The sequence below is a fragment of the Homo sapiens genome, chromosome 2, assembly GCF_000001405.40.
Source record: "Homo sapiens chromosome 2, GRCh38.p14 Primary Assembly".
Taxonomy (NCBI): domain Eukaryota; kingdom Metazoa; phylum Chordata; class Mammalia; order Primates; family Hominidae; genus Homo; species Homo sapiens.
In genome coordinates, this window is record NC_000002.12 from 187258939 (window position 1) to 187275748 (window position 16810).

At 35.1% G+C, this 16810-nt stretch overlaps 1 long non-coding RNA gene and 1 pseudogene across 3 annotated transcripts in view, besides 1 other annotated feature; one reads left to right on the plus strand and one right to left on the minus strand.

The window, feature by feature from the left end:
* The window catches only part of CALCRL-AS1 (CALCRL and TFPI antisense RNA 1), a 544253-nt gene that overhangs the window by 255666 nt on the left and 271777 nt on the right, over positions 1 to 16810 (plus strand). The gene's annotated exons all lie outside the window — the stretch shown is intronic.
* Positions 4761 to 5444: an enhancer, noted in NCBI's record as "OCT4-NANOG hESC enhancer chr2:188128426-188129109 (GRCh37/hg19 assembly coordinates)". NCBI's record gives its function as "activates a minimal SCP1, AML or CMV promoter by ChIP-STARR-seq in primed H9 embryonic stem cells {active_cell/tissue: H9 hESC(primed)}" and the evidence as "EXISTENCE:reporter gene assay evidence [ECO:0000049][PMID:30033119]".
* RNU6-989P (RNA, U6 small nuclear 989, pseudogene) lies at positions 11760 to 11866 on the minus strand (annotated as a pseudogene).

The following is a 16810-nucleotide window of genomic DNA, read 5'->3' on the forward strand; positions in this document are numbered from 1 at the left end:
AGTGTATAAACAGTAGATATTCATTTGTGTTTGTTTTATTTTAGGTATCCCAATACCTAAATATACAGAAATTACTGGAAGAAATATTCAATCTGGTGTGATATACTAGGTGAATGTATCATAAGAATTTCTGTTCCTTACAAAATTGTGAATGCAAAGTTTTAGGAATTATATTGGCTATATGATACTGATCTTTGATATCTTTGTACCTTAAAGCAAGATTTTCTTAGTGAACACTGGCATTCACAGTATTGTTTTTTCTCTGGCTATATCAAGAGCTTTAGTTGTTTTTTGTTAAATGAAAAGAATGAAGAGACTATCTTTCAGACTTAAAAGTTAAAGTTCTGTGTGCAGACTTTCATGTCATGTAGAAAAAGGAAATAAAGGGAGTTAATTGGTTTTGCTGTAATTTTTCTTCAGTGGATTAAAAAAAATCTATGCTTAAAATACTATTTAATGATAATGGGTGACAATTTCTATAAAAATACAACTTTTGTTTCTTAGAAAGTTAACTTTTTTCTATAGTTTATATAAATATGGCATTAGTCAGTAACTGTGTGTTCGGATGCCTAAAATGTATAGCTTTTTTGTTTGTTTGTTTGTTTCAAGAAGCTATGTCTTAATTAATTTAGGAGACTATAGGGTTGTTGGGAAGACACATATAAATGGAGAAGCCAGAAAAAGCTGGACACAAAAACAGATTATTAGAATGGAGCTGTACGTGGATATTAGAATTGGTGGCTTTTTAAAATAACTGAGACATAGTTGCACATTTCCATACTCCTGTGTTTACCATTGAGCTTTTTTACCGTCTTTGTATTTTTCTCTATATCATTAGTTTTCTTACTTATAATTTTGATACTCTTATAGCTTCAGTTTATCAAGCTGTTTACAACTATCCCCTCACTCTGTATTCTCTTTCTAATGACTGTTCGGTTTTAGCATCTATCAAATACCTTGATGCCTTCATTTGACAAGTCAGGTTCAAACCTGATAATCCTATTGGCTAATCTCACTTCCATGCTAGACATCATAGATGACTGTTAAATCTGAGGATTAGCTGCCTTTGGATGATTTATCCATTTTTATTTAGTTCAATCTGTGGTAGAGGCTGGATCATGTGGGTCTAAATATTAGTTAAAATTACATTGATTGGAGATCTAGAGGTTTTCCTTTAGGAAAAACTATAGGCTTGGAATAAACAATAATTGGTACATTTGAGATTTTAAAAATTCTGTCTTCTCTACATACGGCCAATAAACATATGAAAGAAAGCTCAACATTACTGATCATTAGAGAAATGCAAATAAAAACCACAATGAGATAGCATCTCACACCAATCAGAATGGCTATTATTAAAAAGTCAAAAAATAACCGGTGTGTTTGAGGTTATTGGAAAAAAAAAAAAAAGGAATGCTTTTATACTGTTGGTGGGTGTGTAAATTAGTTCAACCATTGTGGAAGACAGTGTGGTGATTCCCCAAAGACCTAGAGGCAGAAATACCATTTGATCCAGGAATCTCATTACTGGGTCTATACCCAAAGGAATATAAATCATTCTAGTGTAAACATGCATGCACATGCACTTGTATGTTCATACAGCACTATTCACAATAGCAAAGACATGGAATGCCCATCAATGATAGACTGAATAAAGAAAATGTGGTACATATACAACATGGAATACTATGCAGCCATAAGAGGAACAAGATCATGTCCTTTGCAGGGACATGGATAAAGCTGGAAGCCATTATCCTCAGCAAACTAACACAGGAACAGAAAACCAAATACCACATGTTGTCACTTATAAGTGGGAGGTGAATGATGAGAACACATGGACACATAGTGGGGAGCAACACTCACGGGCGCTTGTTGAGGACGGGGTGGGGTGAGAGGAGGGGTGAATCAGGAAGAATAGCTAATAGATGCTGGGCTTAATAGCTAGGTGATGGGATGATCTGTGCAGCAAACCACCATAGTTCATGTTTACCTATGTAACAAACCTGCACATCCTGCACCTGTGTCCCTTAATTTAAAATGAAAGTTGGAAAATAAAAAAATAGCTATCTTCTCTAACACAAGGAGCTATTCTCCAATATTATGCATCATTTATTCATTTACAACTTATTTGGCCACTCAATTCATTTTATATATATGTGTGTGTGTGTGTGTGTGTATAAATATTTGTGTGTGTATATATATATGTGTATATATGTGTGTGTATATATATATGTGTATATATATGTGTGTGTATATATATATATATATATATAAAAGGGGAGAATATATTGGATATTGGATTTTGTGTCTCTTCCTAGTTCAAGAATAAAGATACTTTATGTGATAGGGTTATTAAAGCAAACTGTCAGTCACATGACTGCTTATATGTTCCCTTGAGGCCAGGTCATTTGACTTTATATTCTTCATGTTTATAAAATGGTCCCCCTAGCCCGTCTATAACCCCAGGAGCCTTTCCTGCTGGTAGGGATGTATTTCTTACAGGATCACACTCCTTGGTACTTTGTAGGCTGGTATTTATTAGTAATACGCCCTGTAAGTGCCTCTGTCCAGTGGGCATTATGGTTCTTTCTGGTCAAGGTTCTTGGTATATTTGGAAGTGACATGCAGTTGATATATGTAGTCCCATATTCTCATCACAGTTTTCCCAGTTCAAGATGTCCTTGGTATTCAGTGCTGCACAGATATTCTTTGTAATGAATGGATGACAGTCCTTAACTGATCCTTACTTGTTTGTTTCCCACAAAGTGAAAATAAGTCCTGTATGCAATATGCAATATTTTAACTTTTTAATTTCAAAACATTAATATGATTATTAATCTTATGATCAAATAAAGTGGTTATTAACTAGCAATTATGTGCAACATTCTAATATTTGATTGTATGAATTAGATATGTCACACAACATGTGATCTTAATCTTTCAATCAATTATAAATGCTTACTCAGATATTTCTACAATGTTACCAAATTTCAATCTGAATTTATAATACGAATCAGTCTTTCCTAATTCTCACACCCCTAAAATGTCAGCTGAGTAAATTATTTACCAATAATACACTTACCAGTAAGATAGCATAGCCTTAAGTTAAAGCATTACTTTACCTAACTTCTTTTCAACTTTCAGGTTATCCTAGTCTAAGCTGTTTACTTGGATTTTCCTCTTTTAATTCTTGTATTCATCTCTGTTGATCCTAGTATTCTGATAACAGATTCTAATAATTCCCCAACCATTCCCCAAAGCTGCCCCATATACAAAAGCTGAAATAAAAGAAAAAGGAAAGTACTGTAACAAGGAAGGGGATAGAAAAGTCTTCATGTAGAAGAAGATGCCCAAGTGGAATTTTGAAAAATTAGTACTAATTTGACAAAAGTATGAGAGTAAAGGACATTTGTGGGTAACACATATTTAAAATACTCAGTGTGTAATTATTAATTCACTGATTCTATAAACATGCTTTGAAGTCCTGCTGTGTTTAGGTCTTATACAAGATGCTGGAGCTAAAGATTTAGAAAAGAGTGTCCTATAATTTATAGGGAGATTCATAATAAGTTCGGCACTTAATAAGATGAAAATAGAATAAGTGTTATGCGGAGATTGTATGCATGCACGCTGGACACTCACATATGATCACATATCTCAGCCTGGGAAGAAAGGAGTTACTGAAGACGTTCTGTATGAAATCATTTAGAAATCAATGTACTGAGGTATACTTTACATATAATAAAATGGACACATTTACTCTACAGATTGATGACTTTTGACATTCAGCTGTGAAACCTCCACCCCAATTAAGATATGTCTCAATATTCTGTAAAATTCTGTCTCTTTGCAATGTTTCCTTGTGCATCTTTTCTTGTTAGTCCTTCTGGAATAAGTAATTATTGAAATGGGTTTTTGACAGATTTCTCAGTAGTTATGTAAGAAGAACAAGAATTTGAGTAGTTATTTTAGAAAAGCAAGAAGAAAAAGCACCTCACTAAAAGCAGGGCTTCTGTCAAAGAGCATAAGAAAATGAGGCTAGAGAAGTTCGTAATTAGATGATAAAGAACACTGAAAGAAAATCTGTAGTACTTCCATGGGTTTAAACCAGGATAAGTCATAATAATAGCAGTAAAGTTAATGATGATGATAATAATAATATTGTTGAGTGTTTACCGAGAGGCAGGCACTTGTGTATGCATGATTTAATTTAACCTTGTAAAGAGGTTGCTTTTCTCATCCATTAAAGATTTGACAAGCTAGAAACTCAGTAGTATTAAATGAATTGAAGATTCACAAATAGTAAGAGCTCCTGGGAGGTATTTACACAAAAACCCTTTTCATTTTACTTTCAACATGATTTTTTTAAAACATTAACAATAAATTGATGATAGATTGAAAGCAGCAGGGCTGGGGTCCAATTTGAGAGATAATTAGGAGGTAGAATCTACAGGGCTTAATAACACATGGTTGAGGGAAGGATTTGGTAAAGAGAGTATTGAGGATCATTTTCAACTTAGATGAGTAGATGATGCAATTACCCAAGATGAAGACAATTGAAATAGAAACAGGATTGGAGATGACAAGTTCAGTGTTAGCCATGCTGAATTTAAGCATGAATGTTACTTCCAAGTGTTGAAGTATGGCAGGAATTTGGAAATACAGCTCTAAATTTTGGAAAAAAATTTCTATACTGTTAAAAAAGATGTGAAGTCATTAGTATACATATTTTAGTTAAAGCCAGAGAGAATGTAAATAATTAACAGAAAAAAAACTAAGGATAGAAGAGCAAAACATTTGTCTTTAAGGAATGTTGGGGAAAAACAAATCAAAGATAATATTAAGTAGAAAAACAACAAAAAACCCAAATAATAGAAAATAGTGTCTTGGAAATCAAGGGCTGGGTGTGTTCCAAGATGCTATTTTTTAATGACATCATGAGAAGTGAAAAGAGAAGTCGTAGAGAAGGAAAAGAAGAGTGATTAAATATGTACATTGCACTTTGAATCCAGGCAGTCACTGGAAATTTGCGTGAAAGTAGTTTCTTTGTAATGGGGAAGAAGGTGGACGGCAATGCATGGAGATTTGAATAAGAAAAAGGGACAATGCATGTAGAAAGCTCAAGATGCTCAACTTTGAGGAACGGAAACAGATGGGAATATGTTATAGGAAATCATAAAACTGAGGGAGTTGTTTTTTGCTTGATCCAGTTCCAAAAGAAATAGTCACACACACAAAAAAAAAAAAGAAGAAAAGAAAAACAAAGATAAGAAAGAGGAAAAGAGGAATTAATCATGAAGAAGAAGGATACTCATTGCAACAAAATCGTTGAGGATGTATGAGGGGTTAGTGTTTGAGCACAGGTAGAGGGATAATGTAACGAGGGTGCTGTAACATGGCCATTTGTTAGACTGACAGCGTAGGTTGGAGAGCAGGCACTTTTTGCTGAGGCAATTTCCCCAGCCTTGTGTTTATGGAACTTCAGAGTGTGACTATTCTGTTGTGGGGTGAGGTGGAGGGCTGCAAGGAAAACTACACTCTGAGGCTCACTTAAGGCATGTGCTGCCGGTAGCACTTCTGAATGAGGTGCAGAGTTAGAGGCAGTAATTACGGCATTAGCATCGCAGAGTGCCCAGTGAAAAGTTTTTGGAGGGAAGAAAATTGTTTATAATGATTGCTTTCTGTTTTAGATTTTACTCTATAAAACATTATTTCCAAAATCAGAAACCTAGATGGCCTCTAATTCTTATGATTCACTGCTCAAGAACTGTGCCTGTTTCCTCCTATTAAGTATGTTTTCTTGTGCTGTTCTGTTGCTTAGACAATTTTCTTTGGTTCTTCCTATTGCATTCTCATTGAGTTTTCTTATCTTTTCTCACATTTGTTTCCTTGTGATAGTGCAGGGCTGAGTCTTCCTGGTTCCTTCAATGGCTAGCTACATTACATTTCTTTCACTGAAAGCCTTCCCTTTTTTCTAGTGGGGACGGGCACATTGGTGTGGGAAATAGGAGAGCTGAAGAGAGAGAGAAGGGGTGTGAGTGGAAATAGTGAGTGGGGATTATATCAGTAGGCCTTTATCATCTGTCACTTTCTTTCCTGAAGTTTCAGTGATGACATTTCTGATAACATTCGTAAGAATGTAATAGAGCTGTTTTTCCTAATTTTTAATATATACTTCAGTAAATTAAGGTTCACATCATACTATAAGTTCAAGAAGTTAAATGGGAAGAAACAATTCCCTAGTCAAGCTTGAGAATATATGAGAACTTAATTTCAATGCCATACAAAAATATTCTTTGTGTGAAATAGGCAAGAGTTATTTTTTGACATGTAGATAAAATATGTTTTACAAGCGTTGACAATAGACACATTTTATAACAGCATAAACATTATAAATAAGAAAGTAGAGTATAAAAGTATTGTGTGAGAGAGGTCAATGTCAGTAAGAAATTATGAAGTTAACAAGAGGAAGAAAAAAACTGGTGTAAATAGATTGAATGAGTTGCTCTGTTAAAAAAAAAAAACAAAAAACAAAAAAACTTAGGATAGGTCATTAAATCTAGCTGTTTTAAATGTTTTAAAAATTGGAAAGTATAAGCAACATACTGGAGACTACAAATAATAATTTATCTTTAAGTATCATCAGTGATGATTGAAAGAAAATCATACAAAGCACCATGAAGTAAACATGACCTTTTTTTTTTAACTTGGTAAAGGACTTTTTATTTTATATCTCTCCAACGAATGAAAAATGCAGACAAAAAGATGTTCAACATCATGAATCATAAGGGAAATGCAAATCAAAACTACATTGAGACACCACCTCAAACCTGTTAGGATGGCTGCCATTGTAAAAACAAAACAAGTGATGGGGAGGATGTGGAGAAATTTTAACCCTTTTTCAGTATTAGTGGGAATGTAAAATGGTGCAGCCACTGTGGAAAACAGAATGGTGTGCCTCAAAAAATTAAAAATATAATTCCTACATGATTCAGCAATTCCATTTGTGGGTATATACTCAAAAGAATTGAAATCAGGGGCTCAAACAGGTATCTGTGCACCTATGTGCATAGCGGCATTATTCACAATAGTCAAAAGATGGAAGCAACCCAAGAGTGGGTTGCAATTGACATGAATGAACAAGCAAAATGAGATATACACACACAAGGAAGAATTATTCAGCCTTCAAAAGGAAGAAAGTTTTGACAACATGGTATTACACAGATGAACCTCAAGGGCATCAAGCTAAGTAAAATAAGTCAGACACCATGGGACAAATATGGTATGATTTCACTTACAGAAGCTACTTAGAATAGTCAGAATCATAGGGACAGAAAGTAGAATGCTGGGGGAGGAGGAAATAGGGAGTTATGTTTCATGGGTATGGAGATTTAGTTTTGAAAGATAAAAAAGTTCTGGAAATGGTTCATGATGATGTCATGCTATGTATATTTTTTACCACAATTAAAAAAGTAGTTTTATTTTAAAAGGCCGAAGGGTGATGAAAGTCCTCACTGCTTTATCCATCTTCGGGAGTTTTCTTCTCCATTTAATTCATTAAAAGAACTTTCAAATCTTACAATTTTCTAGGAAGCTGTTCCTGTGCAGTTTGCTCTCCTGGATTTCTCCCAAGGGACTACTGTCATGGAACAGAATTCCACTCAGGTAACATGGGGCCCAGCCAATCGCAAATGCCAACCAGGCATTTGTGTGCTGTCTTTAAGAAGAAAGGAGATGGATGGGTCTGAGGGTAAAGGAACAAGAAGGTGTGGGTAGGGGCTGAGACCAGCCTGAGTATTGGAATTTGTCCTTGACAGCTGCGGGAAAAGCCCTGTCGAGGCCTGCACAGAGGCTCCAAGTGCAGAAGTATATGTGCATGTGCCCATGTATGCTTTCACTTATGTATGTGTTCATCTATTCATGTATTCAATGAACACAATTAGCAGCTGCTGTATGCTGGGTACTGTTCTATCTAGTAGTAAACCAGCCTGGCTGGGCTTTGTCCTCATAGGAAAGATATAATGAAGGAGCTCACAGGCAAGCACACGCGTGTACAGTGAGCCCACAACTGCACTCTGATGGGGTACATTAGGCAAGTCTCATTTTTCTGGTAGCCAGTGGGAGATGCATACAGATAAATCCAACAGAGAATCAGGAGCAAGATGCAGGACAAGTCGGAGATACAATTTGTGCTCAGAATGCCGAGGCCCTTGCCAGCCATGCAAAGGTCTTAACCCTAGAGCAGCATGAAGCCATGAAGGATTCTAGGCAGTGACAGGCACGGTGAGATTCATGTTTTGGAAAGTTCCTGCAGGCTGCAGTATGAATACATAGTAGGAAGGCAGGAGGCCAGGTGAGAGAGGAGCTGGCCTGCTCCAGGAGGTAGAAGCCTCTGGAGGTGTTTAGACACCTCTAGATTGAGACATGAAGCTGGAACAAAATCATGAGATTTGGTATCCATCAGTCCACCTATTCCTACTTTTCCCTGTGTGATGCTGAGTCGATGTGCCCATAGTCTTAGTTGATGTGCTTTTAAAGTGAGAAAAGGAGCCACCTCGGCCCCTCTTTCTCTAGAGTTTCTGCTACAGTGATTGGGTGAGATCATGTGAATACAGAGCTTTGTCATCAGGGGCAAGGTGTTGCAGGCTTATTGATGAGAATGTGGATGGTGATGGTGATGGAGAACATAATTCTGGTATTTAAGGGGTTGAGGAGTGCTGCATGTACTCCACGCAGGGCAGCATACTCAGAGGTTTATGCATATCATCCAGTAGGATTTTGTACCACATTTGGAGATACATGTTACTATCCCCAAGATAATGAGAAAACAGCTCCAGAGACGCTTATGCAAGGTCACCCAGAGGAGGGGGGTCAGAAGGCAGATTCAAAACATGGTTTGTCTGGATTTAAAACTCTTATGAGCCCCACACCACCAGCCACTTAAGAAGGCAATTGTACTTTGAGATTTTATCAGTCTCAGTTGGCTTTGGGGCCAGGATGTGTGTTCATTCATTCATCAGTCCATTCAGAAAATATACATGGAGTACCTAACATTTGGCAGCCACAGCCCAAGCCCATGAAGGGAACAGTGGACAAAACACACATCTTCGCATGACTTCTTTATTGTGGTTAAAAAAAAAGACATATCATGAATTCTACTCTCTGAACAAAATTTTCAGTGTACGGTATGTACAGTATTGTTAATTGTATGCATATTGTTGCACAGCACATCTCTAGAGCTTTTTCATTCTGCCTGACTGAAACTCCACACACATTTTGCAACTCCCCATTTCTTTCTTCTCCTAGGCCGTGGCAACCACCATTCTACTTTGTTTCTGTGAGTTTGACCACTTTAAATATCCCATGTAAGTGTAATCATGCAACATTTCTCCTTACGTGACTGGCCTGTTTCACTTAGTATAATGTCCTAAAGTTTCATTCACATTGTAGCATATGACAGAATTTCCTTCCTTTATAAAACTGAATAATATTCCATTGTATATATTTACCATATTTTATTTATCCACTCATCTGTTGATGGACAATTAGGTTGAGTCCACATCTTGGCTATTATGACTAATGCTGCAATGAACATGGGAGCACAGCTAACTCTTTGAGACCCTGATCTCAATTCATTTAGATCAATACCTTGAAGTGAGATTGCTGAATCATATGGTAGTTCTATTTTTAAAATTTTGAGGAAACTTAGTACTGTTTTTCAAAGCAGCTGCACCATTTACTTTCCCACCAACAGTGCAGAAGGGTTCCAATTTCTCCACATCCTCAGCAACACTTGTTCTTTTCTTTTCTTTTTTTAAAATATTTTAATTTAGATAAAGAGATTACATGTGAGTGTTTGTTACACTGTTATGTTATGTGCTGGTGGAGATTGTGCTTCTAATTCACCCATTACCCAAATAGTGAATATTGTACCCAATAGGCATTTTTTCAGTCTTCCCTGTCCTCCCACCCTTCCCTGTTTCAGAGTAACCAGTGTCTATCACTTCCACCTTTATATCCATGTGCACCCATTGTTTAGCACTGATTTATAAATGAGAACATGTAGTATTTGATTTTCTGTTTCTGAGCTAGTTCCCTTAAGATAATGGCCTCCAGCTCCATCCATGTTGCTGCAAAGGACATTCATTCTTTTTTATGGCTATGTGGTATTCCATTTTATGTGTGTATGTGTGTGTGTGTGTGTGTATGTGTGAGTGTACATGGTATTTAATATATATATAATACATATACGTATATATGTGTATTACATCAATAAATACCAACATTTATTGATGTGATATGCCATATTAAATGTGACACACACACACACACAGACATTTTCTTTATCCAGTCAACCATTGGATAGACACTTAGGTTGGTTCTATGACTCTCCTATTGTGAATAGTGCTGTGATGAACATACAAGTGCAGGTGTCTTTTGTATACAATAATTTATTTTTCTTTGAATAAATACCCAGTGTTGGAATTGCTGAGTTGAATGGAGTTCTATTTTCAGTTCTTTGAGATACCTCCATATTGTTTTCCGTAAAGGTTGAACTAATTTGCATTCCCACCAACAGTATATGAGCATTCCCTTTTCTCTGCATACATGCCAACATCTGTTATATTTGACTTTTAATTCTAGTCATTCTGACTGTTGTGAGATAATATCTTATTGTGGTTTTAACTTATATTTCTCTGATGTTTAATGATGTTGAACAATTTTTATGTTTGTTTTACACTTATTATTTCTTCTTTTGATAAATATCTGTTCATGTCTTTGCTAGTTTTTAATAGGGTTTGTTGTTTGTATCTTATTGAGATTTTGAATTCCTTATAGATTCTGGATATTAGTCCTTTGTGAGAGGCATAATTTGCAAATATTTCTCCCATTCTGTAGGTTGTCTGTTTACTCTGTTGATTATTTCTTTTGTTGTACAGAAGGCTTTTAGTTTAATTAAATCCCATGTCTATTTTTATTTTTGTTTCATTTGATTTTGGGGTATTCATCATAAGTTATTTGCCTAGACCAATCTCCAGAGGAGTTTTTTTCTAGCTTTCTTCTAGAATTTGTATAGCTTCAGGTCTTACTTTTAAGTCTTTCATCCATATTGACTTAATTTTTATATAATGTGAGAGATAAGGGTCGGTTTTCATTCTTCTGCATATGGCTAGCCAATTTTCCCAACAACATTTTTTGAATAGGATGCCCTTTTCAAATTTGTTATTTTTGTCAACTTTACTGATGATCAGTTGGTTGTAGGTATGTGGCTTTATTTCTGGGTTCTTTATTCTGTTCCACTGATCTATGTGTCTCTTTTTGTACCAGTACCACATTGTTTTAGTTACTAAATCCTTGTAGTGTAATTTGAAGTCAGGCAATATGATGCCTCTGGATGTGTTTTTCTTGTTTAGTAATTCTTTGGCTCTTTGGGCTCTTTTTTGGTTTTGTATGAACTTTAGGACTGTTTTTTTCTAATTCCATGAAAAATGATGTTGGTAATTTGATAGGGATTGTGTTGACTCTGTGGATTATTTTGGGCAGTGTTATCATTTTAATGATATCAATTCTTCCAACCCATGAGCATGGAATGTTTTCCGTTTGTCATCTATGATTTCTTTCATCAGTGCTTTGTAATTTTCTTTGTAGAAATCTTTCACTTCCTTGCTTAAATGTGTTTATAGGTATTTCATCTATTTGTGACTATTGTAAATGTGATTGAGTTCTTGATTTGGGTCTCAGCCCAAATATTACTTTTTTAAAATAGGAAAAGTTTCATGAGTTTGCATATTCTCCTTGCACGGGGACCACGCTAATCTTTCCTGTATCATTCTAATTTTAGTATATGTGCTACTGAAGAGAGCACCAAACATTATTGATGTATTAAAAATGCTACTGACTTTTGTACATCAATTTTGTAAGGTTCATTTGCTCTATAGTCACTTATGTCCAGAGTTCCTTTGTTGATTTCCTGCCCCAATAATCTGGCGTTATCAGTAGGGTGTTGAGTTACTCACTATTATTTTATTGCTATGAATCTGTTTTCCTGGTCTAGTAGTATTTGTTTTATGAAACTGGATGCTCCAATGTTGGGTGCATATATATTTAGAATAGCTAAATCTTCTTCTTCTATTGAACCCTTCATCATTATCTAATATCCTACTTTCTATAAATTTTACTGATATTGGTTTATAGTCTGTCTTACGTGATATGAAGATGGCTGGTCATGCTCATTTTTGTTTTCCATTTGCATGGTATGTCTTTTTTTACCCCTTTACTTTGTCTGTAGTATTTAGCCAAGAGTAACTATCTTGTAGGTAGCAAGTCGTTGTGTCTTTTTTTCTTTAAAATACAATTTGCCATTTTGTATGTTTTAGGTAAAGCATTTAGGCCATTTATATTCAAGAGTAATATTGATATGAAAGGTTTTGTTCCTGTCATAGTGTTGCTAGCTAGTTGCCTTGGAGTTTCAACTGTGTAATTGCTTTATAAGGGCTGTGAGCTTTGTAGTTATGTATACTGTTACGATAGTGAATATCATCCTTTTGTTTCCATGTTACAAATTCTTTGAGTATTTTCGTTTGACTAGTCTAATGGTAATACGTTTTCTTTGTAGTTATTTGTCTGGGAAAGACTTTAGTTTTGCTTCATTTTTGAAGCTTTGTTTGGTAAGATATGAAATCCTTGACTGGTGTTTTTTATACATAAAGAGACTAAAAATAGGCTCCTAATCTCATCTGCTTATATATATACACACATATATATATGCACATATATATACACACACATATATATACATATATATGCACATATATACATATATAAGTATATATATGTATATATATATAATGTATATTGTATACGGTCTTTTGGCTTTCATTCTGGGTACTTTCAGCAGCAAAGAGTCTCTATAAATTTCTTAGTTACAGATAGCCTTTTGTGGTGTTTTTTTCAAATACTGATTCCAGTTGTGATGTATGGGACATGTGGGCAGGCTCATAGCCTCTAGTGGAGCTAGGGTGACAGAAGTCACAGGAAGCTTATCTCATTCTCTAGTGCTGTGCACTTGTCTCAGCAGATTTTCTACTGTGTTGTGACATTCAACCTCCAGGCCAGTAGGTGGTACTTATAGGTAAGATTTGGCTGCAGCTAATGCAGATTGGTACATATATTATCCTGTTTACTGGGAGAAACTCTCTATTGCCTTAGGAAGAGGGCTGATTTTTCTCAGATGAACACTCTTTTCCCATCTTCTCCTCCCTGGGATCTGAAGTGTCCTTTGCTCTTCTGGTAAATTCTCATTTTCCTTCTTGAATTGAAGCTCACAGGCTTGATCTTTACACAGTATTTTGCTATTTCCAAGTGGTTGAAAGTTGATAAAAGCCTCTAATCTTCATCTTGTTAAAAACAAATGAACAAACAAAAAACAACAAAAATATCCCACATTTGTTATTTTCTATTTTTTTAAATGCCCATCCTATCAGATGTGAGGTGATATCTCACTATTGTTTTCAGTTTCATTTCCTTGTTGATAAGTGATATTGAGAATCTTTTCATATACATGTTGCCATTTGTATGTCTTCTTTGAAGAAATGTCTATTCATATACTTATTTTGTATATTTTTAATTAAGTTTTATGGTTTTCTTGTATATTTTGGATATTAACCACTTATACAGTTTAGAAATATCTTCTCTCATTCTGTAGGTTGCCTTTTCACTCTGTTGATTGTTTCCTTTGTTGCACATAAACTTTTAGATTGACATATTCCAAATTGTCTATTTTTGTGTTTGTTGCTTGTGGTTTTGATGTTATATCCAACTTTTTGATGCCAATATAGTGTTATAAAGATTTGCCTTCATGTGTTCTTTTAGGAGTTTTATGGCTTTAGGTCTTATGTCTTTAATCCACTTAGACTTGATTTTTGCATATAGCATACGATAAAATTCCATTTTTATTTTTGCATGTAGATATTCAACTTTACCAAATCTATTTATGGAAAAGACTATCCTTTCCCCATTGTGTATTCTTGGTATCTTTGTTGGAGATCATTTGACTATACATGTGTGGGTTTATTTCTGGGCTCTCTATTCTATTTGATTGGATTACATGTCTATCTTTATGCCAGTACTATTCTCTTGATTACTATAGTCTTGTCATATGTATTGAATTTCAGAAGTGTGGGGCGTCCAGGATTGTTCTTTCTCAAGATTGTTTTGGCTCTATGGGATTCTTTGTTTCCATATTAAATTTAGTATTTTTTTTCTATTTCTGAACAAAAAGTCACTGAGATTTTGATAGGGGTTGCATTGACATTGTACATTGCTTTATGTAATAAGAACATTTTAGCAATATTAAATCTTCCAAGCCACAAACACAGTATGTCCTTCCATTTACCTATGTCTTCTTTATTCTTTGAACAATGTTTTGTAATTTTCAATATGCAAGCTTTTCACATCCCTGGATAAGTTTACCCTTAATTACTTCTTTTTGGATACTAATGTAAATAGGACTACTTTTTAAATTTCCCTTTTAGATTTTTTTTTTTTGTTGCAAGAAATACAACTGATATTTGTATGTTGATTTTGTATCTTGAAAGTTTACTGAATTTGTTTATTATTTCTAACAGGATTTTAAAAAGTCTTTAGAGTTTTCTGTATATGAGATCATGTCATCTGCAAACAGGGACTTAGGTTTGGGGGCACATATGCAGGTTTGTTATATGGGTAAGTTGCATGTTGCAGGGGTTGGTGTACATGCAACTTACCCATATAACTATGCTAATAAGCATAGTCCTGATAGATAGTTTTTTTTTTATCCTCTACCCTCAAACAGGCCCCAGTGTATATTATTCCCTTCTTTGTCCATATGTACCCAATGTTTAGCTCCCACTTATAAGTGAGAACATGCTGTATTTGGTTATCTGTTCCTACATTAATTTGCTTAGGAAAATGGCCTGCAGCTGCATCCATGTTGCTACAAACAAAAGGCATGATGGTATTCTTTTTTTTGATGGATAATGTTCCATGCTGTATAGGTACCACATGTACCACATTTTCTTTATCGAATCGCTGTTGGGCATCTAAGTTGATTCCATGTATTAGTTATTGAGAACAATGCTGCAATGAGCATACACCTGCATGTGTCTTTATGGTATAACAATTTATTTACCTTCGGATATATATCCAGTAATGCATTTTCTGGGTCAGATGGTAGTTCTGTATTAAATTCTTTGAGAAGTCTTCAAAATGCTTCCCATGATGGCTGAAATAATTTAGATTCTACCAAGCAGTACATAACCATTCCCTTTTCTCTTCAACCTTGCCAGCATATATTAATTTTTGACTTTGTTATAGTAGCCATTCTGACTGAGGTGAGATACTATCTCATTGTGGTTTTGATTTGCATTTCTCTAATGATTAGTAATGCTGAGCACTCATAATGCATTTTGGCCACATGTGCCTTCTCTTGAGAAGTGTCTGTTCATGTCCTTTTTTTTTTTAATAAAGGGGTTGTTTTCTGCTTGTAAATTTGTTAAAGTTCCTTATACATTCTGGATATTAGACCTTTGTCAGATGCACAGTTTGCAAAATATTTTCTCCCATTCTGTAAGTTGTCTGTTTACTCTATTGATAGTTTATATTTTGATGTGCGGAAACTTTATTTAGGTAACATTGGTCAATTTTCTTTCTTGTTGCAATTATGTTTAGTATCTTCATCATAAAATTTTTGCCAGGTTCTATGTTCAGAATGGAATTTCTTAGGTTATTCATATGGTTAGACTCTGTGTCCCCACCCATATCTCATCTTGAATTATAATCCCCATAATTCCCACATGTCAAGGGTGGTACCTGGTGGAAGGTGATTGGATCATAGAGGCAATTTCCCCCATGCTGTTCTCATGATAGTGAGTGAGTTCTCATGGGATCTAATGGTTTCATAAGCATTTGAGAATTCCTCCTACATGTGCTCTCTCTCTCTCTTTTTCACCTGTGCCATGTAAGACGTGCCTCTTTCCCTTCCACTATGATTGTAAATTTCCTGAGGCCTTCCCAGCCATATGGAATGAGTCTATTAAACCTCCTTCCTTTATAAATTACCCAGTCTTGGGTATTTATTTATAGCAATGTAAGAACAAAATAATACAGTTGTCTTCAAGGGTTTTTAGTTTTAACTTTAAGTCTTCAATCTATCTTGAGTTAATTATTGTATATGGTATAAGGAAGGGGTCCAGTTTCAATCTTTTGCATATGACTGGCCAGTTATCGCAGCACCATTTATTAAATACAGAGTCCTTTCTCCATTGCTTATTTTTGTCAGGTTTGTCAAAGATCAGACAGCTGTAGGTGTACAGCATTATTTCTAGCTTCTCTAGTCTATTCCATTGGTCTATGTGTCTGTTCTTGTACTAGTACCATGCTGTTTTGGTTTCTCTATCCTTTTATTATAGCTTGAAATCAGGTAATGTGATGGTTTAGCTTTGTTCTTTTTGCTTAGAATTGCTTTGACTATTCAGGCTCTTTTGTGGTTCTATATGCATTTTAGAATTTTGTGAAAAATGTAATCAGTATTGTTGTAGGTATAGCATTGAATCTGTACATTGCTTTGGGAAGTATGGCCATTTTAATGATACTGATTCTTTTTATCTATGAGAATGAAATGTGTTTCCATTTGTTTGTGTCATTCCTGATTTCTTTCAGCAGTGTTTCTTAATTCTCATTATAGAGCTTTTTCACCTCCCTGGTTAGCTCTGTTTCTGGTGTGTGTGTGTGTGTGTGTGTGTGTGTGTGTGTGTGTGTGTGTGTGCATGCG